At 47.9% G+C, this 26253-nt stretch overlaps 1 protein-coding gene and 1 long non-coding RNA gene across 3 annotated transcripts in view, besides 2 other annotated features; one reads left to right on the top strand and one right to left on the bottom strand.

Moving 5' to 3' along the window:
* Positions 138 to 760: an enhancer, noted in NCBI's record as "H3K27ac hESC enhancer chr16:69788499-69789121 (GRCh37/hg19 assembly coordinates)". NCBI's record gives its function as "activates a minimal SCP1, AML or CMV promoter by ChIP-STARR-seq in primed H9 embryonic stem cells {active_cell/tissue: H9 hESC(primed)}" and the evidence as "EXISTENCE:reporter gene assay evidence [ECO:0000049][PMID:30033119]".
* NOB1 (NIN1 (RPN12) binding protein 1 homolog) lies at positions 430 to 13485 on the top strand. 2 transcript variants are annotated; one of them, NM_014062.3, is made up of 9 exons: positions 430 to 508; positions 630 to 762; positions 2985 to 3115; positions 5726 to 5797; positions 6018 to 6143; positions 6238 to 6438; positions 7027 to 7124; positions 10339 to 10483; positions 12755 to 13485. In NM_014062.3, the coding sequence occupies exons 1-9, from the start codon at positions 446 to 448 to the stop codon at positions 13022 to 13024; spliced, it is 1239 nt and encodes a 412-aa protein (NP_054781.1). In that variant the 5' UTR covers positions 430 to 445; the 3' UTR covers positions 13025 to 13485. The 2 variants fall into 2 exon arrangements, 1 of the variants encoding a protein (NP_054781.1); NR_074074.2 differs by lacking the exon at positions 2985 to 3115.
* Positions 761 to 1384: an enhancer, noted in NCBI's record as "H3K27ac hESC enhancer chr16:69787875-69788498 (GRCh37/hg19 assembly coordinates)". NCBI's record gives its function as "activates a minimal SCP1, AML or CMV promoter by ChIP-STARR-seq in primed H9 embryonic stem cells {active_cell/tissue: H9 hESC(primed)}" and the evidence as "EXISTENCE:reporter gene assay evidence [ECO:0000049][PMID:30033119]".
* The window catches only part of NQO1-DT (NQO1 divergent transcript), a 17192-nt gene continuing 2376 nt past the window's right edge, over positions 11438 to 26253 (bottom strand). The window contains exon 2 of the long non-coding RNA NR_186363.1: positions 11438 to 13221. This is a non-coding gene — a long non-coding RNA (NQO1 divergent transcript). The remainder of the gene's footprint in view (positions 13222 to 26253) is intronic.

Raw genomic sequence — 26253 nt, 5'->3', positions numbered from 1 at the left:
TTGACTTTTAACCATAAGAATATATACAGGTTTTAAATTTATTTATTTATTGAAGAGATGGGGGTCTCTCTATGTTGCCCAGGCTGGTTTCACATTCCAGGGCTCAGGCAATCCTTTCGCCTCAGCCTCCTTAATAGCTGGGACTCTAGGCGCGCACCACTACACCTGGCAGGTTTTATCTTCAAAGGTGAAGAAGGCACTAAGGTCTAGATGCTGAAGCCGATTTCCCAGGTGTCCCCCAAGGTTTGACCCCGCCCACACTTCTCTGGCTATGCGGGCGGCGTCGCTGCGCATGCGCGCGAGTAGAGCAGGGAGGTGCTGGCGCGGCCGCCAGGAGGCGCAGCTAAGTCGCGGCTGCTCTTCCTGGTTCCCAGAGGCCCAGACTTGGACATAGGAGCCGGCGCAAGCTCCGTGCGCATGCGCGCTCCCCTCTCACGCAGCCAACATGGCTCCAGTGGAGCACGTTGTGGCGGATGCTGGGGCTTTCCTGCGGCATGCGGCTCTGCAGGTACGGGGAGCTCCCTCCGGGACGAGAGAGATCTGGGCTGGCCGCCCCTCCCGGAGTGCGTGGAGTCGCGCGGAGCGTTGCTTGGTGCGGGTGGGTCTGAGCTGGGGCGTTCTGTCCGCAGGACATCGGGAAGAACATTTACACCATCCGGGAGGTGGTCACTGAGATTCGGGACAAGGCCACACGCAGGCGGCTCGCTGTCCTGCCCTACGAGCTGCGGTTCAAGGAGCCCTTACCGGAATACGTGCGGCTGGGTGAGTGCCTCTGCCCTAGCGTTGACGGGAAGCTGGGGTCCAGGGCGCAGATGGCACCCAGTTGGGTGCGAGTTGGGGTCTAGCTGCCTTATCAGAGCAGTAGATTTAGAGCCAGCACTTTCTAGGAGATTGTGGTAGGAGAGAGGCTTCCTGGGTCTGGAGTCCTCCAGTAACTAGCTGTATGCTCTCGGGCATAGCATTCAAATTTGGGCCTCGTTTACCTCATCCGCAAAATGGGAATAATAATTGTATCTGTCTCCAAGGTTGCTGTGAGCATGAACTGAGGAATATGGCAGTCAGCTCAGTGTCAAGCACTTTGCAGACAAGCAATAAATTTATTTGGATTTAAAATAAGAGTTTGGATCTCTTGCTATTACTCTCGTCCATTTCTTTTCAGTAGATTGGGCTGATGACTGGATACAAAGATCTGCACCTGGCAGAGCTTTAAAAAGGGAATGCTTTGCATTGTATTAAATGTGAAAGAAAATTAAGCTGGGCGCGGTGGCTTACGGCCTGTAATCCCAGCACTGGGAGACCGAGGCGGGCGCATCACCTGAGGTCAGGAGTTTGAGACCAGCCTGACCAACATGGTGAAACCCTGCCTCTACTAAAAATACAAAATTAGCTGGGCGTGGTGGTGTGCTCCTGTAATCCCAGCTACTTGGGAGGCTGAGGCAGGAGAATTGCTTGAACCTGGAGGTGGAGGTTGCAGTGAGCCGAGATCGTACCACTGCACTCCAGCCTGGGCGACAGAGCGAGACTCTGTCTCAAAAAAAATAAGAAATAAAGAAAATTAAAGAATTGTCTCTTGGCTTAGGAGTCAGCGTTGTTCTCTTGTTGGGAATCAAGGTGATACCCAGGAAAGGCCCCTCAGTGGTTGGAAGTGTTTTAGAGGTTAGAGGCTGATAGTGGAGATGATGTTACCTCCTCTGTTTGTGATTTCTACGATTTTCTCCACCAACTTAGTAGCTCTGTGATCTTTGCCAACTTACTAAATCTTTCCGAGGAAATACTAATAGTACTTTTGAAGAATGGCAAAGGATGAAATGCATTAACACATAAAGCTTTTAATGCAGTGCCTAGTACACAGTAAGTGCACAGTAAATTTTCGTTGCTGCTAATGTCTGTTTTTTAGGAAATAAGAGCAATATACCTAGTGTTCCTTGTACCAGGGTAGCAGGAGACATCTTTCTGTTAATTTCAGGAAATTTTAAGTGTTTATTATGGATGACTCTGGAGAATAACAGCAGTCTGACATGTATTATGCATTAAGCACATGCTTTTTGTTTCCTCATAGACTACTACAATTACAAGTTGAGCATACTGAATCTGAAATCCAGAATGCTCCTAAATCTGAAACTTTTTTTTTTTTGAGATGGAGTCTGGCTGTGTTGCCTAGCCTGGAGTGCAGTGGCACGATCTTGGCTCACTGCAGCCTCCACCTCCTGGGTTCCAGCAATTCTTCTGCCTCAGCCTCCCCAGTAGCTGGGACTACAGGCACACGCCACCACACCTGGCTAACTTTTGTATTTTTAGGAGACAAGGGGTTTCACCATGTTGGCCAGGCTGGTCTGGAACTCCTGACCTCAAGTGATCTACCCACCTCAGCCTCCTGTAGTGAGGTGTGAGCCACCACGCCCCAACTTTCTTCTTTTTTTTGAGAAGGAGTCTCACTCTGTCGCCCAGGCTGGAGTGCAGTGGCGCAATCTTGACTCACTGCAACCTCCGCCTCCCAGGTTCAAACAATTCTCCTGCCTCCGCCTCCTGAGTAGCTGGGATTACAGGCCCCCCCGCTACCACACCGGGATAATTTTTGTATATTTATTAGAGACAGGTTTCACCACGTTGGCCAGGCTGGTCTCCTGACCTCAAGTGATCCGCCCACCTCTGCCTCCCAAAGTGTTGGGATTACAGGCGTGAGCCACCACGCCTGGCCCCAGCCAACTTTCTGCTCCTTCCTCTGTATTTGATAAGGGTGTTACAGTAAATCTAACTGGCATGAATCTTGGTGGTGGAGAATACAAATTTCTCAACTGCGAGTAGGAAAAGGTCAGAAAATGGATGAAAGTGTTAAGGTTTTTCATGACATAGTGATCCTTTCTAAATTGTTTTGATACTTCCATTATTTTGATCTGTTCTAAATTGTTTTGATACTTCCATTGGTTATCCAAGGTCATATGGCTTTTTACCTCTAACTGAAGATGTAAATCTGTTGTTTACAGTGACTGAGTTTTCAAAGAAAACAGGAGACTACCCCAGCCTCTCTGCCACGGACATCCAAGTGCTTGCACTCACATACCAGTTGGAAGCAGAGTTTGTTGGGGTGTCTCACCTAAAACAAGAACCACAGAAGGTAAATCAAGAGGATGGGTTTTTAAAAGCTTTGTATTATGGGAACTGTCAGGTATACAAAAGTAGAAGGACTAGTGTAATGGACCCAGGGTTCCCATCATCCCCCCCTCCAATTATCTCTTAGCTAGTCTGTATTCATCTACACTGATCCACAGCCCTGAGTACTTTTTTTTTTTTGAGATAGAGTCTTGCTCTGTCGCCCAGGCTGGAGTGCAACGGCGTGATCTCGGCTCACTGCAGCCTCCGCCTCCTGGGTTCAAGCGATTCTCTTGCCTCAGTCTCGAGAGTAGTTGGTAGGATTACAGGCGCCCACGACCACACCCGGCTAATTTTTGTATTTTTAGTAGAGACGGGGTTTCGCCATGTTGGTCAGGCTGGTCTCGAACTCCTGACTTCAGGTGATGCGCCCGCCTCGGCCTCCCAAAGTGCTGGGATTATAGGCGTGAGCCAGTGCGCCCGGCCTCAGCCCTGAGTATTTTAAACTCAGACATCGTATACTATTTCACTGATAGATATTTCTTGGTATGTCTCTAAAGATCAAGACTCTTAAAAACTTTAAAGCCATCATTACACCTACACAAAATTAATAGTAATGCCTGTTATCAAATATCCAGTCAACATTCACATTCCCCAGTTATTTTGTAAATGTTAAAGCGTTTGTTTGTTTGGATCAGGATCCCAATGAGGTTCATACATTGCAATTGGCAAGTGTGTCTCAGTCCCTTTTTTTTTTCCCTCTTTCATCCAGGGTCTAGCTGTGTTGCCCAGGCTGGTCTTAGAACTCCTGGGCTCAAGTGATCCTCCCACCTCAGCCTCCTGATTAGTCTCTTTTGATCTGTAGGTTTTTGGGAAAGGTTTAAATTTGGAAAATGCAAAAGAATAAAAATCTATATATCTGTATATAATAATTTTTTTAAAAAAAAGAACTATTTCTGGCCAGGTGCCGTGGCTTATGCCTATAATCCCAGGGCTTTGGGAGGCCAAGGCAGGAGCATTACTTGAACCTAGGCATTTGAGACCAGCCTGGGCAACCCCGTCTGAGGCAGGAGGATCACTTGGGCCCAGGAGATTGAGGTTGCAGTGAGTTGTGATCATACCACTGCACTTCAGCCTGAGTGACAGTGAGACCCTGTCTGAAAAAAAGAGAGCTTTCTGGAGGTAAAAAAGAATGAACACTAAGTACTTGCAAGTGTTTTTTCGAACCTTGCTTCCTTCAAAACTTTGACTTCCTATTGTGTTTTTAGGGTCTTACCCACTGTGGCTAGGTTGAAGAGACTGATACATTTGTGCCTGCACCCATTGTCTATTTCTAAGCCAGAGGATTTTAGAAGTCAAAAATTTTAACCTAATAATAATTCATTTTCAATAGTGTTGACAAATAATTGCTTAATCTTCTCTGCCTAAAGTCATCAAAACTATGGTGGACTCATATTTTTGCACTAGTTGAAACTACCCTCAAATTTTTTTAAGAAAGATGGGGTCTCTCTGTGTTGCCCAGGCTGGTCTCAAACTCCTGGGCTCAAGCCATCCTCCCACCTTGGCCTCCCAGAATGCTGAGATTACAGGCATGAACTACCACACTTGTTTTTTGTTTGTTTGTTTGTTTGTATTTTAATAAGACAGGATCCTGTCATCACCTGGGCTGGAGTACAGTGGCGCTGATCACAGCTCACTGCAGCATCAAACTCCTGAGCACAAGCAGTCCTCCTACCTCAGCCTCCCGAGTAGCTGGGACTGTAGGTGTACACCACCATGCCTGGCTAATTTTAAAATTTTTTTATAGAGACAGGGTGTCACTTTTGTCCAGGCTGGTCTCAAAATCCTGGCCCAAAACAATCCTCCTACCTCAGCCTTCCTAAGGGCTGGGAGTTAGTGAGCCACTGCACCCAGCTATTTTTTTATTTTTATTCTCTGATTTTTTTAAAACACTGGATGTCAGCCAGGCTCGGTGGCTCCTGTGTGTAATCCCAGCGCTTTGGGAGGCTGAGATGGGCAGATCACTTGAGGCTGGGAGTTTGAGACCAGCCTGGCCAACATGGCGAAACCCCATCTCTACTAAAAAATACAAAAATCAGTGGGGCATGGTGGCGCACACCTGTAATCCCAGCTACTTGGGAGGCTGAAGCATGAGAATCGCTTGAACCTGGGAGTCGGAGGTTAGGTTGCAGTGAGCCAAGGTTGTGCCACTCCCCTCCGGCCTGGGTGACAGAGCAAGACCCTATCTCAAAAAAAAAAAAAAAATTGGGTATCCTTTTTTTTTTTTGAGACAGAGTCTCATTTTTGTTCCCCAGGCTGGAGTGCAGTGGCGTGATCTCAGCCCACTGCAACCTCCGCCTCCCGGTTTCAAGGAATTCTCCTGCTTCAGCCTCCTGAGTAGCTGGGATTACAGGTGCCTGCCACCACGCCAGGCTAATTTTTGTATTTTTAGTAGAGACAGGGTTTCGCCACGTTGGCCAGGCTGGTCTCCAATTCCTGACCTTGGGTGATCCGCCCACCTCGGCCTCCTAAAGTGCTGGGATTACAGGCATGAGCCATCGTGCCCGGCCAAAAAAAAAAACTGGATATCTTTAATTTTGATAACAAGAGGTATATGTTTTTTGTTTTTTTAAAGGTTAAGGTGAGCTCATCGATTCAGCACCCAGAAACACCTCTGCACATTTCTGGTTTCCATCTGCCCTACAAGGTAATTTCTTAGACAAGCCAGGCCGTTCATGCTCTTTTCTGAAACATGTCACATCTCTCTAAGTCATCTCTTCACAGTGAACTAAATTTACGCGGACCAATAACATAGTTTGTCCAGCCCTGTCTGATCTGACTTGTATATCATATGTGATTTCATCTGTGACCTGAGAGGTGGCTACAGATGAATTTTCAGGTTTTAAAATTGTTTCTTTTAATTTCAGCCTAAACCCCCACAAGAAACAGAAAAAGGACACTCAGCTTGTGAGCCTGAGAACCTGGAATTTAGTTCCTTCATGTTCTGGAGAAACCCTTTGCCCAACATCGATCATGAACTGCAGGAGCTGCTGGTGAGGCCTTGACTTTTGGTCTTCTGACGACAGCTCAACTTCTCCTCCACTGCTCCTGTGGGTTGGGAGTTTGAAAGGTCTGTTGATGTTTCAGATTGACAGAGGTGAGGACGTTCCAAGTGAGGAGGAGGAGGAGGAAGAAAACGGGTTTGAAGACAGAAAAGATGACAGCGATGACGACGGGGGTGGCTGGATAACCCCCAGTAACATCAAGCAGATCCAGCAGGAGCTGGAGCAGTGTGACGTCCCCGAGGACGTGCGGGTTGGCTGCCTGACCACAGACTTCGCCATGCAGGTGGGTAGGGTGGGCCTGGGCCGTGTGTCACACACGTCATCGGCAGTGGTCCTACCGAGGTGTACAGATGTACACGGAACTGGTGCTGTGCAGCGCTTCTTTTCCTGGTTCTGGAAACCACCTGTGCCATTTGGTGATTTTTAATTTTGCTTAGAGGCTAGACAATCGTCATATAATGACAACATTTGTATAGTACATTAAATGTTTAACGTTTACTATTTATGATTTTTTTATGATTTTTTTTTCAGTATATATAATGCCATGTGGTCAGTCAGGTTCTTAACACAGGGAGAGAGGGTTTTCAGCCCAGCAATGAGTATATTTGGCCCAGACAAAATAAAATGTCTGTTGAGAGAGCTTGCTAATGACAGGTCATGGAAAATGACGAACACAGGCTCCAGGACGGTGTTAGAAAGACACCTGGGCCTTCGTCCTCGTTTACACATCTTGAGAGGCCTCCCCAGGCTGAGTTTCCTTCGCAAAAGCCAAGGAATATGGGCAAGGCAGGGTTTGTGAAGTTCCCTTAACTGTAATTACAAAATGAAATGTGAAAAGAAAATTGATTTCTTCTTTAACTTGTGGTTGTAGAATGTTCTGCTGCAGATGGGGCTGCACGTGCTGGCGGTGAACGGCATGCTGATTCGTGAGGCCCGGAGCTACATCTTGCGCTGCCATGGCTGTTTCAAGTATGTAGCTGGTGCCCTGGCCCTGGTGCCCTCTGTGGAACACTCTTCCTGTTTCTTTTTTTGTTTTGAGAAACAGTCTCGCTCTGTCACCTAGGCTGGAGTGCAGTGGTACAATCTCAGCTCACTGCAACCTCTGCCTCCTGGGTTCAAGCAATTCTCCTGCCTCAACCTCCCAAGTAGCTGGAACTAGAGGCACATACCACTGCACCCGACTAATTTAATTTCTGTATGTTTTTAGTAGAGGCGGGGTTTCACCATGTTGGTCAGGCTGGTCTCGAACTCCTGACTCCAAGTGATCCATCCACCTCAGCCTCCCAAAGAGCTGGGGTTACAGGTGTGAGCCACCACGCCTGGCCACTATTCCTGTTTCTTCTACAGACTTGTTTAAAGAGAACCCTACATTATGTGTGTTTCTTCCACCTCATCATTCCTCTGGGGCCTGGGTTCCGTCTCCACCTGGGCACTGAGAACTTGGGGACAGAGGTTGCCAGTGACCTCCCACCGTATCTCAGTGGCATGGGGTTAGGGACATGGGTTCTGGAACAGTGAGCCTCATTCTTTAGCGGTACATACCGAAATGTTTGTCCTTGGAATGTCTGGGATTTGCTTTGACAAAATCCACAAGTAGAAGGAGTGGGTGGGGGTGAAGATAAAATAAGACTGGCCATGAATTGATAGTTTTTGAAGCTGGGGGGTGATGGATACATGGAGGTTTGTTGTGTTTTGTCTGCTTTATACTTGAGAGATTTTCTGTTTACAAAAAGAAGAGTACATGGGTTCAAATCCAGATTCTGTGTCCTGCTGCTGCTGTGATTTTGCAAAAGCTGATTCACTTCTTTGTGCTTCAGATTCTTTTCTTTGAGACGAGGTCTCACGATGTTGCCCAGGCTGGTCTTTAACTCCTGGCCTCAAGCAATCCTCTTATCTTGTCCTCCTAAAGTGGTGCGATTACAGGCCTGAGCCATCTGCCTATCAGATTCTTTTTATCTTTTTTTTTTTTTTTTTTTTTGGAGACAGGGTTTCTCTCTTGTTGCCCAGGCTGGAGTGCAGTGGCACGATCACGACTCACTGCAACCTTCGCCTCCCGGGTTCAAGCGATTCTCCTGCCTCAGCCTCCGAGTAGCTGGGACTACAGGCACCCACCACCACACCTGGCTAATTTTTTGTATTTTTAGTAGAGACGGGGTTTCACCGTGTTAGCCAGGATAGTGTTGATCTCCTGACCTCTGATCCGCCGAACTCAGCCTCCCAAAGTGCTGAGATTACAGGCATGAGCCACCGCGCCTGGCCCAGATTCTTGTTTTTGGTTTTTGGGGTTTTTTGTTTTTTTCTGAGACAGAGTCTCTCTGTTGCCTGGAGAGCAGTGGCACAGTCTAGGCTCACTGCAATCTCTGCCTCCCGGGTTCAAGCAATTCTCCTGTCCCAGCCTCCTGAGTAGCTGGGACTACAGGCACCCGCCACCACATCTGGCTAACTTTTTGTATTTTTAGTAGTGACAGGGTTTCACTGTGTTGGCTAGGCTGATCTCAAATGCCTGAGCTCAAGTGATCTGCCTGCCTCGGCCTCCCAAAGAGCTGCGATTGCAGGCATGAGCCACCACACCCGGCCCTATGAGATGCTTAATAAGATTGAGAAGGTGGTTGTGAGGAACTAGGAAGACAGTTGTGTCAAGGACTCTGTGGTATCCAATACATAAGCAGCGTGCCTATCGGGTGAACTGTTAGTTTCTTGACCACTGACCTCTCATTGCTTTTCTGACTCTTGAGTTGGTTCCTGTGGTGGGTCAGGCTGGTGTTCTGTAGGGAGGCCTCTGGGACCTTGGAAACCGCCTGGTAGGCGTGGAAGAGCCTCTGCCGCAGCCTTGCTGGTGGAGTGTGGCCTGAGGACCTACTCTAGGGTGGCATCTGCCATTCTGCAGGCTCAGGCTGGGTCTGGGGGCATCACGTAGATCATCTGGTGGTGCCCCTTGTTGTAGAGGCCGATGAGGAACTTTCTGAATCATCAAAGGTGCCTCTCTGGGTCCCCAGCTCTTCCAGTGGGCGGGGCGTTGCCTGTGTGAAGCCTCATTCCCTGAAGTCCTGAGCATAACCCAGCACTCAGGCTTGGGGCCCCGCCCCGCCAGCCACTGTGGCTCTGCTGGTGGCCAGCCACTCCTCAGAGCGGCCCATACCTTCCTCTGAAGCTTTACGTCCCTTTGCTGCGTCAGGCTCATGATAGTAAAGCTCCTGGCTTCATAAAATTCCATTTTCTCCAACGTCCTTTGTTACAGAAGCACTAAATTCACCAGATTAACACTCAATTCTTAGAAACACTTGGAATGTTCTTCATGCTTGTCAGATTAGCCCCGTGACTGCACAGTTTGATGTACAAAATAATTAGGTCCCAACACTTGTTATGAGGTGCTTAGTTCACTCACAAGAGACTTCAGGTAAGGCATTTGGCTTCTCCAGCCATTCCACGCAGCTCTTTTGTCTTGACCATTGGGAATTGATGGAGAACTCCACAAGGACAGGGACCAGGGCCACTGCTTTGCCGCTGATAGCAGCAGCTTTCTCCTGTCGAGAGTCCACTGTCGGGGCTTGAGTGCATAGGTGGGGGAAGCCTTGGTTCTGCACTCAGTGCCCGGGCTTAGTTCAGCCACAGCAGCATGTTTCCTGTCTCTCTCATTAATATGCTCTGCCGCCTCCAGAGCTGCTCCCGAGTTAACACCCAGGCTGACATTTGGAGAAAAGGTAGCTCGTGGTGTGACGAGGTGCCCCTCGAGAAAGTGCCGTGATGTGAAGGGCATTGATTCTGGAGCCAGACTGCCTGGGTTTATCTGCCATGGACCAGCTGGGTGACCTTGAGCAAGCTGCCTTAACTTGCCTCAGTTTCCCCATCTGTAAAATGGAGACGGTGCCATCCTCCCAGGACTAGTGATGTGAACCCTACAGAACAGGGCCTGGCGGTGTGTAGGAAGGGTTCGGGATTCACCTAACTGCATCCTGCTCGCTTGCACACTTCCTTACCTGCCCCTCCTGTGGTTTATCTGTCCCTCAGAGGGATGCGGCAGCCCTTTGCTGACAGCTTCAGTGGCCTCCGTCTTTGTGACATGTGTGGTGCGGTTCAGCCCTTCCCTGTTTCTTCTCCTGAGGCCCGAGACCCACCTTGTGCTCTGGGGAGGCGTTTGCTGCCTGTGGCTTTGGTACAGATCATCTCCTTTTGTGTCTCCCAGGACAACGTCTGACATGAGCCGAGTGTTCTGCTCACACTGTGGGAACAAGACCCTGAAGAAAGTGTCCGTGACCGTCAGCGACGACGGCACCCTGCACATGCACTTCTCCCGCAACCCCAAGGTGCTGAACCCCCGCGGCCTCCGGGTGAGTGGCGCCTCTCCCAGTCCCCTCCCAACACCAGAGTGAAAAAGAACAGAAAGGACAAAAGAAAACCTAGTCTAGTCGTTTCTGCAAGATGGGCGATTGAAAGCCTGTGACCTAGGTACCAAGACGGAGTGGGGAGAGTGTGTGACAGATGCCATCTCATGAGAAGCGACCGGTTATTCAGGCAGTAGTTGTGAAAGGCTACAGTAGCGGCTCACGAAGTGGGAACTCATTTGGAGTAAGGCGGAGGTTAGATTTGTGCAGGAGTTGAAGGATGGGCAGGGTCTCGGGAAGCCCATGACGCAGAGAGGAACGGGTGTGGAAAGCACAGCACGGAAGAGAGGGCCGGACGGGCTAGATGAGCAGCAGCTGCCGACGCAGAGAATCGGGAGGGAAGGATTGGAGGACGAATGAGTGGCACTGGCTTCTCCCAGCAGTAAAATAGCCACATGTGCATGAGAAGAACCTTCACTTTCAATTTTGAAATAATTTTCAACTTATAGAAAAGTTGTAAAAACAGTACAAACAATTCCTGGGGTTTTTCTTGTTGTTTGAGACAGGGTCTCACTCTGTCACCCAGGCTGGAATGCAGTGGCGTGATCTTGGCTCACTGAAACTCCACCTCTGGGGTTCAAGCGATTCTCCTGCCTCAGCCTCCCAAGTAGCTGGGACTACAGGCACACGCCACCATGCTTGGCTAATTTATCTTTAGTAGAGATGGGGTTTTGCCATGTTGGCCAGGATGTTCTCAAACTCCTGACCTCAGGTGATTCGCCCACCTCAGCCTCCCAAAGTGCTGGGATTACAGGCGTGAGCCACTGCACCCGGCTAATAATTCCTGTTTACCCGTCACCTGGATTTCCCAGGGTTAATCATGTACCACGTCTGCTTTCTCTTTATACATGTACATATTTTTTTCCTGAACCATCTGAGTAGATTGTACACATAATGCCCTTTTGCCTTGAAACAAGGACTTTATCTTATGTAACCACAGTGTAATTATCAAAATCAAGAAATCAGCATCGCTGCGATACCAGTGTGTAATCTGCAGACCCAACTCCAGATTTTGCCAGTTGTTCCACAAATTTCCTTTCTGACAAAAGAAGGGGATTTTTTGGGTCCAGAATCCAGTCTAGGATGAAACGTTGCATTTTGTCATCTTGTCTTTTTTCGACTGGGGTCCTTTCAGTCTTTTGTCGTAGATGACCTTGACACTTTTGAAGAGTATGAGTCCGTTCCTTTGTAGAATGTCCTTTCCCTTGCGTGTGTCTGGTATTTCCTCGGGATTGGATTAGATTGGGGCTATGCAGTTTTGGCAGGAACACGCCAGAGGTGATCCTGATGTGTCCTTCTCAGGACTTCGTTTCAGTGGGTAAATGCTAATTGTCTAATTTACTGGTGATACTAACTTCAATCACTTGGTTCAGTGGCTTCTGCCACCTTAATCCCCTGTAAAGTTATTTATAATACTTAATTTGTAGAAAGAGACTGAGACTTTGTATATATTATTTCTCGTTGAACTTACCTAAAGTTGCCTGAAACAGTTATTATAGTGATTATTGCCAAATGGTGATTTTCTGTCATTCCTTCCATGTTTATGACCTGGTATTATACTGTAAAGAAGAACTTTCCTTTTAGTCTCATTTATTGATTTCTATGAGTGTGGTCTTGTGGATTTCTGTCATAGTCTACAGGTTGTGATCTATCACTGTCATTTTGAGCCTCGCGTTGTGCCATGTGTGGCCAGTGGGAGCCTGTGTTCTTTTGACAGATCCTGGTCTGTCAAACTTTATGGCACAACAAGAAGTTCCCAGAGACTCAGCCATCTCCTGCCTGTGCCCCAGAATCCGCCATTTCTCTCAGGAGCTCTGGTTTTTTATGCAGGATGGTTTTTAGAAGTAAAGATCTGGGGACTGGGTGTGTCTGTTGTCCTGCAGTGTCATTGCGTCTTGGCTACAATGGACAGAGCTAGGAAATACATACATGTGTGTGTAAATACACACTGGAATGTTTTGTATTTCTATTTCTGTATTGTCTTTAGCTGAAGGTATGTAGTCAAAATACCGTGTTCGGTTTTTCGTGTGTGAATTGAGGTGGGAATCAGGTGGGAGGCGGCGGCATGTCACACGTAGCACATGGTAGGCAGTCAATTACCACCCGCTGTCATCTGCCTGCACCAGGATCTGCAAGGTCGGCTGCACCTTACCAGCCATGGCCTTGTGTGACTGTGGCTCCCCTTCTTCTAATGGCCCTTCCTTGTCTTATTTCCAGTACTCGCTTCCCACTCCCAAAGGGGGCAAATACGCCATCAACCCCCATCTCACCGAGGATCAGCGCTTCCCTCAGCTGCGACTCTCCCAAAAGGCCAGGCAGAAAACCAACGTGTTCGCCCCTGACTACATCGCCGGGGTGTCACCCTTTGTCGAGAATGACATCTCCAGCCGCTCAGCTACCCTGCAGGTCCGGGACAGCACCTTGGGAGCTGGGCGGAGACGCTTAAATCCCAACGCTTCCAGAAAGAAGTTTGTGAAGAAAAGGTGAAGAGCGAGTTCCCGCAGGCAAATTGGATGGGCGTCTGGCCGCCGTGGAGTTCCGGTGACCCATTTCCCCAGCCGTGTCGTCTCCAGGACCACCCGATGGAAATAACAGGCGGGCTTCACGGTGCGGCTCTGTCCGCCCATGCCCCGCTGGGTCTGCAGGGAACTGGACTGTCCCATGGCCTGTGAGCACCGGAGCGCCTGGCTGCCTGCCAAGGAAGTGCAATTGCATAAAAACAGAAAGAACAACGCCCTGGAGCCAATCTTCAAGAAAGGAATTTCCAAAGGATAATATTTTTCTAATAAATGCGGCTGCAACCTCCTGTGCATTTAATTAAATAGGCCAAATTTTTGCTGCTTAGGTCATCTCAAGGCTGATACTTGAGCTGTGTGCCCAGAGATCATGCATTTAGATTTATATTTTTGCCAGAAAATACAAGGTTATAATAAAACTAAGAACTACCATTTCTTTCTTTTCTTTTAACCTGTTCTTTTTTTGAGAATAGTTTCTATTCGTCTGGAAAGTGCAACGTGGTGAGCTCCCTGATGGCCTTTCACCTGGATTCCCCACGGTTCCGCCTCATGTTTCTCTGCACACACAGTCACAAAGTATGAGTCGTCTAGGAAAAGGATATTCTTTTGCATAACCACGGTAGAGTTAGCAAATTCAAGAAATATCACATTGGTACATTACTATTATGTAACATGACAGCACTGGAAGTCACCCTGTATCAGTTCGTTCTTCAGCTGCCTAATGTTCCATTGCGAAGAGCTATGAAACAAACTCTGTTAAGTACTTACTCTACATTAGCCCATTTAATCCATAGAACGTTAATACAGGGTACGGCTGCTGTTATTTCGAGCAGTCCTGAGCTACAAGAGGTAAGTGACACAGCATGTGAGTGGCTGGGCCAAGATTTCAGCTTAGTCCATCTGTACTTTTTTTTTTTTGAGGCAGTCTCGCTCTGTCGCCAGGCTGGAGTACTATGGCTCAGTCTCGGCTCACTGCAACCTCTGCCTCCCAGGCTCAAGAGATTCTTCTGCCTCAGCCTCCCGAGTAGCTGGGATTACAGGCAAGTGCTGCTGTGCCCAACTAATTTCTGTATTATTATTATTTTTTTAAATAGAGACTGGTTTTCACCATGCTGCCCAGGCTGGTCTTGAACTCCTGACCTCAGGTGATCCACCCACCTTGGCCTCCCAAAGTGCGGGGATTACAGGTGTGAGCCACCACGCCCAGCCCCATCTGTGCTTTTTTTTTTTTTTTTTTTTTTTTTTTTTTTGAGACGGAGTCTTGCTCTGTCGCCCAGGCTGGAGTGCAGTGGCGTGATCTCGGCTCACTGCAAGCTCCGCTTCCTGGGTTCATGCCATTCTCCTGCCTCAGCCTCCCAAGTAGCTGGGACTACAGGCACCCGCCACCACGCCTGGCTAATTTTTTGTATTTTTAGCAGAGACGGGGTTTCACCATGTTAGCCAGGATGGTCTCCATCTCCCAACCTCGTGATCCGCCCACCTCGGCCTCCCAAAGTGCTGGGATTACAGGCGTGAGCTACCACGCCCGGCCTCCATCTGTGCTTTTAAGCCACAAATGTACCAGTGGAGATGGTAGGAAGGAGGGTGAACACTGCCCGCTTTCTGTCCCCATCTTTGTGAAACTCCTGCTCTTGGGAGGATTGATGGATTGACAACCACCTGGAGCACAGGGTACCAGAGGAGAGGTGAGTAGTGGTTACAGCCTGGGTGACTCCAACGTGCCCTTTCCATTTCTCCCCATACTCTGTTCTGTCAGACATAGAGAAAGTAGGCCGAGCACGGTGACTCATGCCTATAACTCCAACATTTTGAGAAGCCGAGGCAGGATCGCTTGAGCCCAGGACATGGAGAACAGCCTAGGTCAAAAGAATGTCTACAGAGAACACAAGAGGGTAAGGCTTTTAGCTTAATTGCACCCCTGTTTCTCACCGTCATCTTGGAATTCCTTCCCTTTCTCCTCAGTCCCACCCATTTCATTCTGTATTTAGTAGCCATAAGACTACTAAATAAGACTGGTCAGGATTTGGCCAACAGTCTATATGTAATTTTTTTTTTCTTTTTGAGACTGTCACCCAGGCTGGAGTGCAGTGGTGCAATCTTGGCTCACTGCAGCCTCCGCCTCCCAGGTTCAAGTAATTCTCCTGCCTCAGCCTCTGGAGTGGCTGGGACTATAGGTGTGCGCCACCATGCCCATCAAATTTTATTTGGTAGAGATGGGGTTTTGCCGTGTTGGCCAGGCTGTTCTCAAATACCTGACCTTAGGTGATCTGCCTGCCTTGGCCTCACAAAGTGATGGGATTACAGGCATGAGCTACCATGCCGGGCCTCACATGTAATTTTAAAAAGTCTTGGACCAGAGCCAGGCATGGTGGCTCACTCCTGTAATCCCAGCACTTTGGGAGGCCAAGGCAGGCGGATCACCTGAGGTCGGGAGTTCGAGATTAACCTGAGCAACATGGAGAAACCCTGTATCTGCTAAAAATACAAAATTAGCCTGGCATGGTGGCAGGCACCTGTAATCCTAGCTACTTGGGAGGCTGAGGCAGGAGCATGGCTTGAACCCGGGAGGCGGAGATTGTGGTGAGCTGAGATCGTGCCATTGCACTTCAGCCTGGGCAACAAGAGCAAGACTCCCGTCTCAAAAAAAAAAAAAAAAAGTGATGGGCCAGTTGCTGTGGTTCACGCCTATGATCCCAACACTTTGGGAGGCCAAAGTGGGAGGATTGCTCAAGTTCAGGAACTTGAGACCAGCTTGGGCAACATAGTGAGACCCCATCTCTAAAAAATATACAAAAATTAACATGTATGGTGATACACACCTACAGTCCCAGCTACTTGGGAGGCTGAGGTGGGAGGATTGCTTAAGCCCGAGAGGGTGAGGTTGCAATGAGTTGAGATCATGCCACTGCACTCCAGCCTGGGTGACGGAGAGAGACCGTGTCTCAAAAGAAGAAAAACTTACTGCCTGGACGCAGTGATCCAGACCAGTAATCCCAACGTTTTGAGAGGCTGAAGCCCGCAGATCACTTTAGCTCAGGAGTCCAATACCAGCCTGGCCAACATAGTGAAACCCTGCAAACAAATAAAAATCAGTGAAACAAATTAGTTGCACATGGTGCTGCCTGTAGTCCCAGCTACCTGGGAGGCTGAGGTAGGAGGATCACTTGGGCTCGGGAGGAGGAGAGGGTTGCAGCTGAGATCCTGCCACCAAACTCCAGCCTAGGTGACAGAGCAAGACCCTGCCTGTCACAAAAAAAAAAAAAAAAAAGGCATGGCACAGTGGCTTACACCTGTAATCCTAGCACTTTGGGAGGCCAAGGTGGGCGGATCACTTGAGGTCAGGAGTTTGAGACCAGCCTGGCCAACATGGCGAAACCCCATCTCTACTAAAAATACAAAAAAAAAGCCAGGCATGGTGGCGCACACCTGTAGTCCTAGCTACATGGTTGGCCAACATGGCGAAACCCTGTCTCTACTAAAAATACAAAAATTGGCTGGGTGTGGTGGTGGGCACCTGTAATCCCAGCTACTCGTGAGGCTGAGGCAGGAGAATTGCTTGAACCTGGGAGGCGGAGGTTGCAGTGAGCCGAGATGGTGCCAATGCACTCTAGCCTGGGCAACACAGCGAGACTCTTACATACATACATACATACATACATACATACATACATAACATAACATACATACATAGACATAAAAATAAGAATAACCAAATAACCAGGCCGGGCATGGTGGCTCACACCTGTAATCTCAGCACTTTAGGAGGCCAAGGCCAGTGGATAACTTGAGGTCAGGAGTTCGAAAGCAGCCTGGCCAACATACTGAAATCCCGTCTGTACTAAAAATACAAAAATTAGCTGGGCCTGGTGGTATGTGCCTGTAATCCCAGCTAGCCTCCGTCAAAAAAAAACACGACTCAATTTGCTACCTTGAATCAAGTCTCTTCAGAACAAATGAATGTCCTTTTTGAGAGAAATGAGCATTTTGTTGTTGTTTTTGTTTTGTTTTTTTGAGATGGAGTCTTGCTCTGTCACCCAGGCTGGAGTGCAGTGGCACAATCTCGGCTCACTGCAACCTCCATCTCCCAGGTTCAAGTGATTCTCCTGCCTCAGCCTCCCGAGTAGCTGGGATTACAGGCGCATACCGCCACATGTGGCTAATATTTGTATTTTTAGTAAAGATGGGGTTTTACCATGTTGGCCAGGCTGGTCTTAAACTCCTCACCTCAGGTGATCCACCTGCCTCGGCCTCCCAAAGTGCTGGGATTACAGGAGTGAGTCACTGTGCCTGGCAGAAATTTCAGTTTAATCAGAGTGTTCTAAGCCCAGTAAAGGATGGCCTAATTCCGGCAATACATAACTTAAATTAGAGCAGGACACACCAAAACACAGGAAGCCCAACACAATGGTGTGAGTGCTGTGTAATAGCCATAGTGGTGGCGGGTAGGAGGACAGGAAGGGATGGATGGGGTTTCTAGTAGAAGAATCTCTTCTACCCTAATACCAAGAACATTTTCTCCCCCAGAAATACTTGGCTGGAATCCACAGGAACCACTGAGGATAACCCAGGTCCCCAGACAGGCTCAACAATGGCTCTGAGCTAATATACAAAGTCCATCATCCGCAGCACAGAGAAAAGGAAGGGGTCTTTGGGGACTTCTCCTTGTGCAGAAAAGCAGCCACCCAGGTGGACACCATGCATTAGCAGGTGGCTCATGAGGATGCTTGTGTTCTTTCATCAGAAGGAGAGGGCTCCTGAGAATTCTCCAACTCCCGGCTTTTAATTTCTAGATAATGAAGACAACAAAGCTTCCTATAGCTCTGAGGTCCTCGCCTGCTCCAACGTGGGCGACAGAGTGAGACTCTGTCTTAAAAAAAAAAAAAAAAAAAAAAAAAACAGGGCAGGGAGCAGGTGCGGTGGCTCATGCTTGTCATCCCAGCAGTTTCGGAGGCTGAGGCGGACGGATCACTTGAGGTCAGGAATTCCAGACCAGCCTGGCCAACAGGATAAAACCCCATCTGAACTAAAAATACAAAAAATTAGCTGGGCGTGGTAGCACATGCCTGTAATCCCAGCTACTTGGGAGGCTGAGGCAGGAGAATCACTTCAACCCAGGAGGCAGAGGCTGCAGTGAGCTGAGATTGCACCACTGTACTCCAGCCTTAACAACAGAAAGAGACTCCATCTCAAAAAAAAAAGGAGAAGATTGATAAGCTAGAACAGACGGAATACAAAGACCTCAGGTGCTTACGGAGAGAAAAAGCAGATCACATCCAAATGGTCAGGAAGCAAGTGATAAATTCTCCCTGAAAACTGGAGAACATAGATCAATGCCTTCAAAATTCCAAGAGGCAACAATTTTCAACCTAGAATTCTACACACAGCCAAACAGGCACAGAATGTATCTGAAAACTTATTTCCATTTATCCTTTTTTTCTTTTCTCTTTTGAGACAGTCTCGCTCTGTCACCCAGGCTGGAGTACAGTGGCGCGATCTCGGCTCACTGCAACCTCCTCCTCCCGGGTTCAAGCGATTCTCCTGCCTCAGCCTTCCGAGTAGCTGGGATTACAGGCATGTACCACTACACCCAGATAATTTCTGTAGTTTTAGTAGAGACAGGTTTCACCATGTTGGCCAGGCTGGTTTCAAACTCCTGACCTCAAGTGATCCAACTGCCTTAGCCTCCCAATGTGCTGGGATTACAGGCATGAGCCACTGTACCTGGCCTCACTTATCCTTTCTTAGGAACTACTGGAGAATATAATCCAGAAAAAAAAAAAGAGAGAGAAAAGAAAAAGTGGGGGAGGAGTAAACCAAAGAGGAAATATGAGATCCAATATAAAAGAAAGGCAAAAAGAACCCCAGAAAGACAGCAGTGCGGCAAACCTAGAGAATGACGAGCCTGCATTGGGAGAGAAGGCTTCCAGGAAGACTTTTTCTAGAAGAATAAAACTGATAAGAAACCTGATGAGTTTGGCCAAATGAAAAGTAGGCCAGGCACAGTGGTGCATACCTGTAATCCCAGCACGTGGGGAGGCTGAAGTGGGCAGATTGTTTGAGCTCGGTAGCTCGAGACCAGCCTGAGCAACATAGGGAGATAACTTCTCTACAAAAAAAAATTTTTTAAATCAGGCTGGGGCTGGGCGTGGTGGCTCACACTTGTAATCCCAGCACTTTGGGAGGCCAAGGTGGGCGGATCACCTGAGGTCGGGAGTTTGAGACCAGCCTGACCAACATGGAGAAACCCCACCTCTACTACAAATACAAAATTAGCTGGTTGTGGTGGCACCTGTAATCCCAGCTACTCGGGAGGCTGAGGCAGGAGAATCGCTTAAACCCGGGAGGCGAAAGTTGCAGTGAGCCGAGATCGTGCCACTGCACTCTAGCCTAGACAACAAGAACAAAACTCTGTCTCAAAAAAAAAAAAAAAAAAATCAGGCTGGGTGCGGTGGCTTACATCTTTAATCCCAGCACTTTGGGAGGCCAAGGCAGGCTGATCACCTGAGGTCAGGAGTTCCAGACCAGCCTGGCCAACATGGCGAAACCCTGTCTCTACTAAAAATACAAAAAAGTTAGCCAGGCATGGTGGTATGTGCCTGTAATCACAGCTACTCAGGAGGCTGAGGCAGGAGAATCACTTGAACCCGGGAGTCATAGGTTGCAGTGAGCCAAGATAGTACCACTGCACTCCAGCCTGGGTGACAGGGTGGGATTCCGTCCCCTCCCCACCAAAAAAAAAAAAAAAAAAAATTTAAAAATCAGCCAGGCATGGTGGTGAGTGCCTGTAGTCCCAGCTACTCAGGAGGCTAACGCGACAGTATTACTTGAGTGTGGGAGTTCCAGGCTGCAGTGAGCTAGGATCACATCACTGCACTCCAGCTTGGGGTACACGGTGTGCTTATTTGTTTTTTATAATTTAGATGGTTTGGGAACAATTAGTGCTGGTGGCATAGAAAACTAATGGGAAGGCCAGGCGCAATGGCTCATGCCTGTAATCCCAGCACTTTGGGAGGCTAAGGTGGGCAGATCACTTGCGGTCAGGAGTTCAAGACCAGCCCGGACAACATGGTGAAACCCTGTCTCTACTAAAAATACAAAAATTAGCTCGGCGTGGTGGCATGCGCCTGTAATCCCAGCTACTCTGGAGACTGAGGTAGGAGAAATGCTTGAGCCCAGGAGGCAGAGGTTGCAATGAGCTGAGAGAGCATAACTGCACTCCGGCCTGGTGACACAGCGAGACTCCATCTCAAAAGAAAAAGAAAAAAAAGTGGCAATTATTAACCCTAGGAAAACAAAAGGTTGTAGAAGGAAATGTAATTATAATTCACTGCATGGCTCATTGTTACAATAGCATAAATAAAACCTAAATATTGATTTAGCCAAAAATTTGGATATTGCCATATTGGGAAGAAAAGGAGAAAAGGTGAAGGTGAGGGGGAGTGTTAAAGTGCTTATTCTCATCTTTCATAGTAGATATGAATCAATAATGTCTAAAAATGATAAATAAAAACCAGCATATTACTTAGAAACGTGGAGGTAAATACCCCAAGGCACCACTAAAAAGAGTGTTGGGGCTGGGTGTGGTGGCTCACCCCTGTAATCCCAGCACTTTGGGAGGCCAAGGTGGGCAGATCACTTGAGGTCAGGAGTTTGAGACCATCCTGGTCAACATGATGAAACTCCATCTCTACTAAAACTACAAAAATTAGCTGGGCATGATGATGGGCACCTGTAATCCCAGCTTCTTGGGAGGCTGAGGCAGGAGAATCACTTGAACCCAAGATCGCACCACTGCACTCCAGCCTGGGTGACTGAGTGAGACTCTGTCTCAAAAAAAAAAAAAAAGTGTTGGGAAGGAGACAATTCAGGAAGGTTGGAGTGGGGGATGCTGTTTATCATAAGCTCAGGAAATTATGGACTCTTTTTTTTTTTTTTGAGGGGGACTCTTGCTCTGTCGCCCAGGCTGGAGTGCAGTGTCGCAGTCTCGGCTCACTGCAAGCTCCGCCTCCCAGGTTCACGCCATTCTCCTGCCTCAGCCTCCCAAGTAGCTGGGACTACAGGCACCCGCCACCACGCCCGGCTAATTTTTTTGTATTTTTAGTAGAGATGGGGTTTCACCACGTTAGCCAGGATGGTCTTGATCTCATGACCTCGTGATCTGCCCACCTCAGGCTCCCAAAGTGCTGGGATTACAGGGGTGAGCCACCGCACCCAGCCTGGAAATTATGTGACTCTTAAAATTTTGTACAAACTTTATATTAAATTAATATATATATTACAACAAAAATTTTTTTTTTTAGACGGAGTTTCGCTCTTGTTGCCCAGGCTGGAGTGCAATGGCACGATCTCAGCTCATTGCAACCTCCGCCTCCCAGGTTCAAGCAATTCTCCTGCCTCAGCCTCCCCAAGTAGCTGGGACTAACAGGCATGCGCCACCACGCCCAGCTAATTTTTGTATTTTTAGTAGAGACGGGGTTTCACCATCTGGGCCAGGCCGGTCTCGAACTCCTGACTTCATGATCCACCCATCTCGGCCTCCCAAAGTGCTGGGATTACAGGTGTGAGCCACTGCACCTGGCCAAAAATATTTTTTAAAAGATAGTTTATCTGCGTATTACTTCAATAACTAAAATTTAAAAGTAAAAACAAAACTAATAGTCTCAATTCTCCTTCTACAGATGTGAGAATCAGGACTCAGTGAGCCTAAAATATTTAGTTTATTTCATAATTTTGATAAACGTACCACATTTCACATTTATGTAAATATTATATAAAATGTAAGCCTTGCAATTTTCCTCTAAATTTTGAAGTACTCAAAAATAAAATGTTTATTTAAAAACTTCAAACACATAGCCTAGTTTCTTTTTCTTTGTGTAAAATGTTTTGTTGTTGTTGTTTTTAAGAGACAGTGTCTCACTATGTTGCCCAGGCTGGCCTCGAACTCTTGGGCTAAAGAGATCTCTCACTTCACCCTCCCAGGTAGTTGGGAATACAAGAGCACACCACCACTGTAAAACTTTTTATACTGGAAAAATTTAAATATTCATGGAATTAAGAATAAAATAATGAATGCCCATGTACCATACATTTTGTTTCAATACTCAGAAACATTTTGCCAATCGGTTGTTTTTGAAATAGTTTAAGGCAAAGGCATGACATAATTTCATTTTACCTCTAGACACTTCAATATGCATGTTTAATTGATACCTGACTTCAAAAAAAAAAAAAAACTATCATACCTAACTAAATATCATCTAATATCTGTTCTCTGATTTTCTCAAAGATTTTTTTTTTTTTTTTTTTTTTGAGACAGAATCTTGTTCTGTCACCCAGGCTGGAGCGCAGCGGCACAATCTCGGCTCACTGCAACCTCCACCTCCCAGGTTCAAGGGATTCTTGTGTCTCTGCCTCCTCAGTAGCTGGGATTACAGGTGTGCACCACCACACCTGGCTAATTTTTGTACTTTTAGTAGAGACGGGGTTTCATCATGTTGTCTAGGCTGGTGTCAAACTCCTCACCTCAGGTGATCCGCCCATCTCTGCCTCGCAAAGTGCTGGGATGACAGGTGTGAGCCACTGCACCCGTCCAAAGATGTCTTTTTATAGATGTTTGTTTGAATCAAGATCCAAACAATGTCTGCATATGACATTTGCTTGTTTTATCTTGTTAAATCTCTTACATTCTTTAACACAATTAACTGATGGTTAATTTTACATGTCAGCTTGACTGGGCAAGGAATGCTCAGATAGCTGGTGGAACATTGTTTCTAGGTGTGTCTGGGAGGGCGTTTCTGGGAGAGAGATGAGCATTTGGATCGGCAGGCTGCATTAAGGAAAATTGCCCTCACCAAGGTGGGCAGGCATCATCCACGCCACCAAAGGCCCGAGTACAATAGAGAGGAGGAGGCCGGGTAGATTTGCTTACTCTTTTCTTGAGGTGGGACATCATCTTCTCTTGCTCTCGGGCACTGCTGTTCCTGGTTCTTGGGCCTTTGGACTGGGAGTGGCACTTGCAACGCTGGCTCCCCTGGTTCTCACTCTTGAGTTTGGACCAAAACCACACCACCAGCTTTCCCCAGCCTCCTGCTTACAGACAGCAGATTGTGTGACTTCCCAGCCTCCAGAATCAAATGAGCCAATCCCTCATAAAATACAGCTTTTTTTTTTTTTTTTGAGATGGAGTCTCCCTCTGTTGCCCAGGCTGGAGTGCAGTGGTGTGATCTCGGCTTGCTGCAACCTCTGTCTCCAGGGTTCAAGCAATTCTCCTCCTGCCGAGTAGCTGGGCCTATAGGCATGTACCATCACACCTGGCTAATTTTTGTATTTTTAATAGAGACGGGGTTTCACCATGTTGGCCAGGCTGGTCTTGAACTCCTGACCTCGTGATCTGCCCGCCTGGGCCTCCCAAAGTGCTGGGATCACAGGCACATGCCACCACGCCCAGCTAATTTTCATATTTTTAGTAGAGATGGAGTTTTGCCATATTGGCCAGGCTGGTCTCAAACTCCTGACCTCAAGTGATCTGCCCGCCCCAGCCTCCCAAAGTGTTGGAATTACAGGTGTGAGCCACCACACCTGTTTGTTTTTTTTTTTCTTTGAGGCAGGATCTCACTCTGCCACCCAAACTGGGGTGCGATGGTGAGATCTTTGGCTCACTGCAGCCTTCACTGTCTGGGCTCAAGCAATCCTCCCACCTCAGCCTCCCAAGTGAGGGGGACTACAGACGCATAATACCACACGGGCCTAATTTTATTTAAAATTATGTTTTGTAGAGATGGGGTCTTGCTGTGTTGCCCAGGCTGGTCTCAAATTTCTGGCCTCAAGGGATCCGCCTGCCTTGCCCTCCCAAAGTGCTGGGATTACAGGTGTGTATTAGTCAGGTTTCTGTAGAGGGACAGAAGTAATAAGATAGACATATGTAGTATTAACTCACACAATCACAAGGCCCCACAATAGGCCATCTGTAAGCTGAGGAGCAAGGAAGCCAGTCCGAGTCCCAAAGCTGAAGAACTTGGAGTCTGATGTTGGAGGGCAGGAAACATCCAGCACAGAAGAAAGATGTAGACTGGGAGGCTAGGCCAGTCTAGCCCCACTTATTTTTTTTTTTTTTTTTGGTGAGGTGAGTCTCTGTCACCCAGGTTGGAGTACAGCGGTGTGATCTCGGCTCACCGCAACCTCTGCTTCCTGGGTTCAAGCTATTCTCCTGCCTCAGCCTCCTGAGTAGCTGGCATTATAGGCATGCACCACAACACCCAGCTAAATTTTTTTGTATTTTTAGCAGAGATGAGTTTTGCCATATTGGCCAGGCTGGTCTTGAACTCCTGACTTCAAGTGATCCACCCGTCTCGGCCTCCCAAAGTGCTGGGATTACAGGCGTGAGCCACGGCACCAGGCCTAGTCTAGTCTTTTCACGTTTTTCTGCCTGCTTTATATTCTGGCCGCACTGGCAGCTGATTAGTTGGTGCCCACCCAGATTGAGGATGGGTCCGCCCTTCCCAGTCCCACTGACTCAAATGTTCACCTCCTTTGGTAACGCCCTCACAGACACACCCAGGATCAATACTTTGCATCCTTCAATCCAATCAAGTTGACACTCATTATTAACCATCACAAGGTGTGAGCCCTGCACCCAGCAATATATTGCTTTTTATATATTTATAGAAATTCAATTGGTTCTGTTTCTCTGGAAAATCCTGATCAATATACACTCCTTCATTTTTCTTATAGCACTGAATTATGGGATAAACCAGGTTGGTTGTCCTGTAGAATGTCCCACACTGTGATTTGACTGATGTTTCCCCATGATTTTAACTTCTATCTCCTGTGTTTCCCAATCAACCCACTTGGGTTTTTGTTTTTTCTTTTTGTTTTTAGATAGGGTGTCACTGTGCTGCCTAGGTTGGAGTGCAGTGGTACAGTCACAGCTCACTATAGCGTCGACTTCCCAGGCTCAGATGATCCACCCATCTCAGCCTCCTTAGTAGCTGGATCCACAGGTGCACACCACCACACCTAGCTAATTTTTAATTTTTTTAGAGATGGCAGAGGTGGGGGGGGTTGCGGGGGGGTCTCACTATGTTGCCCAGGCTGGTCTTGAACTCCTGGGCTCAAGCGATCCCCCTGCCTTGGCCTCCCAAAGTGCTGGGATTACAGGTATAAGCCACCGCACCTGGCCCCAAACAACCCACTTTTTTTATTCTCTCAGTTTTTGCCCTTATTTAATCCCCCACTCTTACTTCAGCCTCGTTAGGAACTTGAGTCTCTGGACCCCTCTACTTTTTCTCTGCCAATAAGCCCTTTCATAATGTTCGTCATCACTCCAACCACTCTACTTTTTAAAAATGGACTTTGTTGAGGAATAACATGCATACAATAAAATGCTTGTATTTAAAATGTACTTTTCAGCGGATTTTAATAAATACATACATCTGTGTAACTACCGCCACCATCAAGTCGCTCTCTTCTTCACAGCCCCCACTCTGTCTCCTCTCATCATGCTTTCCCAACCTACATCAATCCCTCAGACTCCCCCTCTCCTGGCACGCCTGGCTGCAGACCTGCAGGAGAGAACACACACGCCGACCTGCTGGAAACCTGTACATCAGTACTGCCCTCCCGAGGACCCTCGGTCTTTGTCCAGGCAGCAGTGCTCGCCCATGCTCCACAGCAGCTTTTTCTTTTTCTTTTTTTCTTGAGATGGAGTCTCGCTCTTGTTGCCCAGGCTGGAGTGCAGTGGCACAATCTCAGCTCACTGCAACCTCTGCCTCCTGAATTCAAGCGATTCTCGTGCCTCAGCCTCCCGAGTAGCTGGGACTGGAGGCGCCCACCACCACACCCAGCTCATGTTTTTGTATTTTTAGTGGAGACGGGGTTTCACCACATTGGCCAGGCTGGTCTCCAATTCCTGAGCTCAAGTGATCCACCCGCTTCAGTCTCCCAAAGTGCTGGGATTACAGGCCTGAGCCACTGTGCCCGGCCAGTAAGTTTCTTTTTTTCTTTTGAGACAGGATCTCCCTCTGTTGCCCAGGCTGGAGTGCAGTGGCATGATCTTGGTTCACTGCCACCTCAAATGTCTGTCTTTACCACTGTGTAGTAACAAATTTGGCCAGGAGTGGTGGCACATACCTGTAACTCCAGCACTTTGGGAGATCAAAGCGGGAGGATCACATGAGCCCAGGAGTTTGAGACCAGCTTGGGCAA

Source organism: Homo sapiens, chromosome 16 (genome assembly GCF_000001405.40).
Source record: "Homo sapiens chromosome 16, GRCh38.p14 Primary Assembly".
In the NCBI taxonomy this organism is placed as follows: domain Eukaryota; kingdom Metazoa; phylum Chordata; class Mammalia; order Primates; family Hominidae; genus Homo; species Homo sapiens.
Note: the sequence above shows the minus strand (reverse complement) of the source record. Positions and strands in the feature narration are given on the sequence as shown.

Excerpts from the sequence above, each read along its gene's own strand:
- NOB1 (NM_014062.3), top strand. The coding sequence starts at position 446 with ATGGCTCCAGTGGAGCACGTTGTGGCGGATGCTGGGGCTTTCCTGCGG. Across the intron at positions 509-629 it reads TGCGGCATGCGGCTCTGCAG|GACATCGGGAAGAACATTTA; the intron begins GTACGGGGAGCT and ends TTCTGTCCGCAG. Across the intron at positions 3,116-5,725 it reads TAAAACAAGAACCACAGAAG|GTTAAGGTGAGCTCATCGAT; the intron begins GTAAATCAAGAG and ends GTTTTTTTAAAG.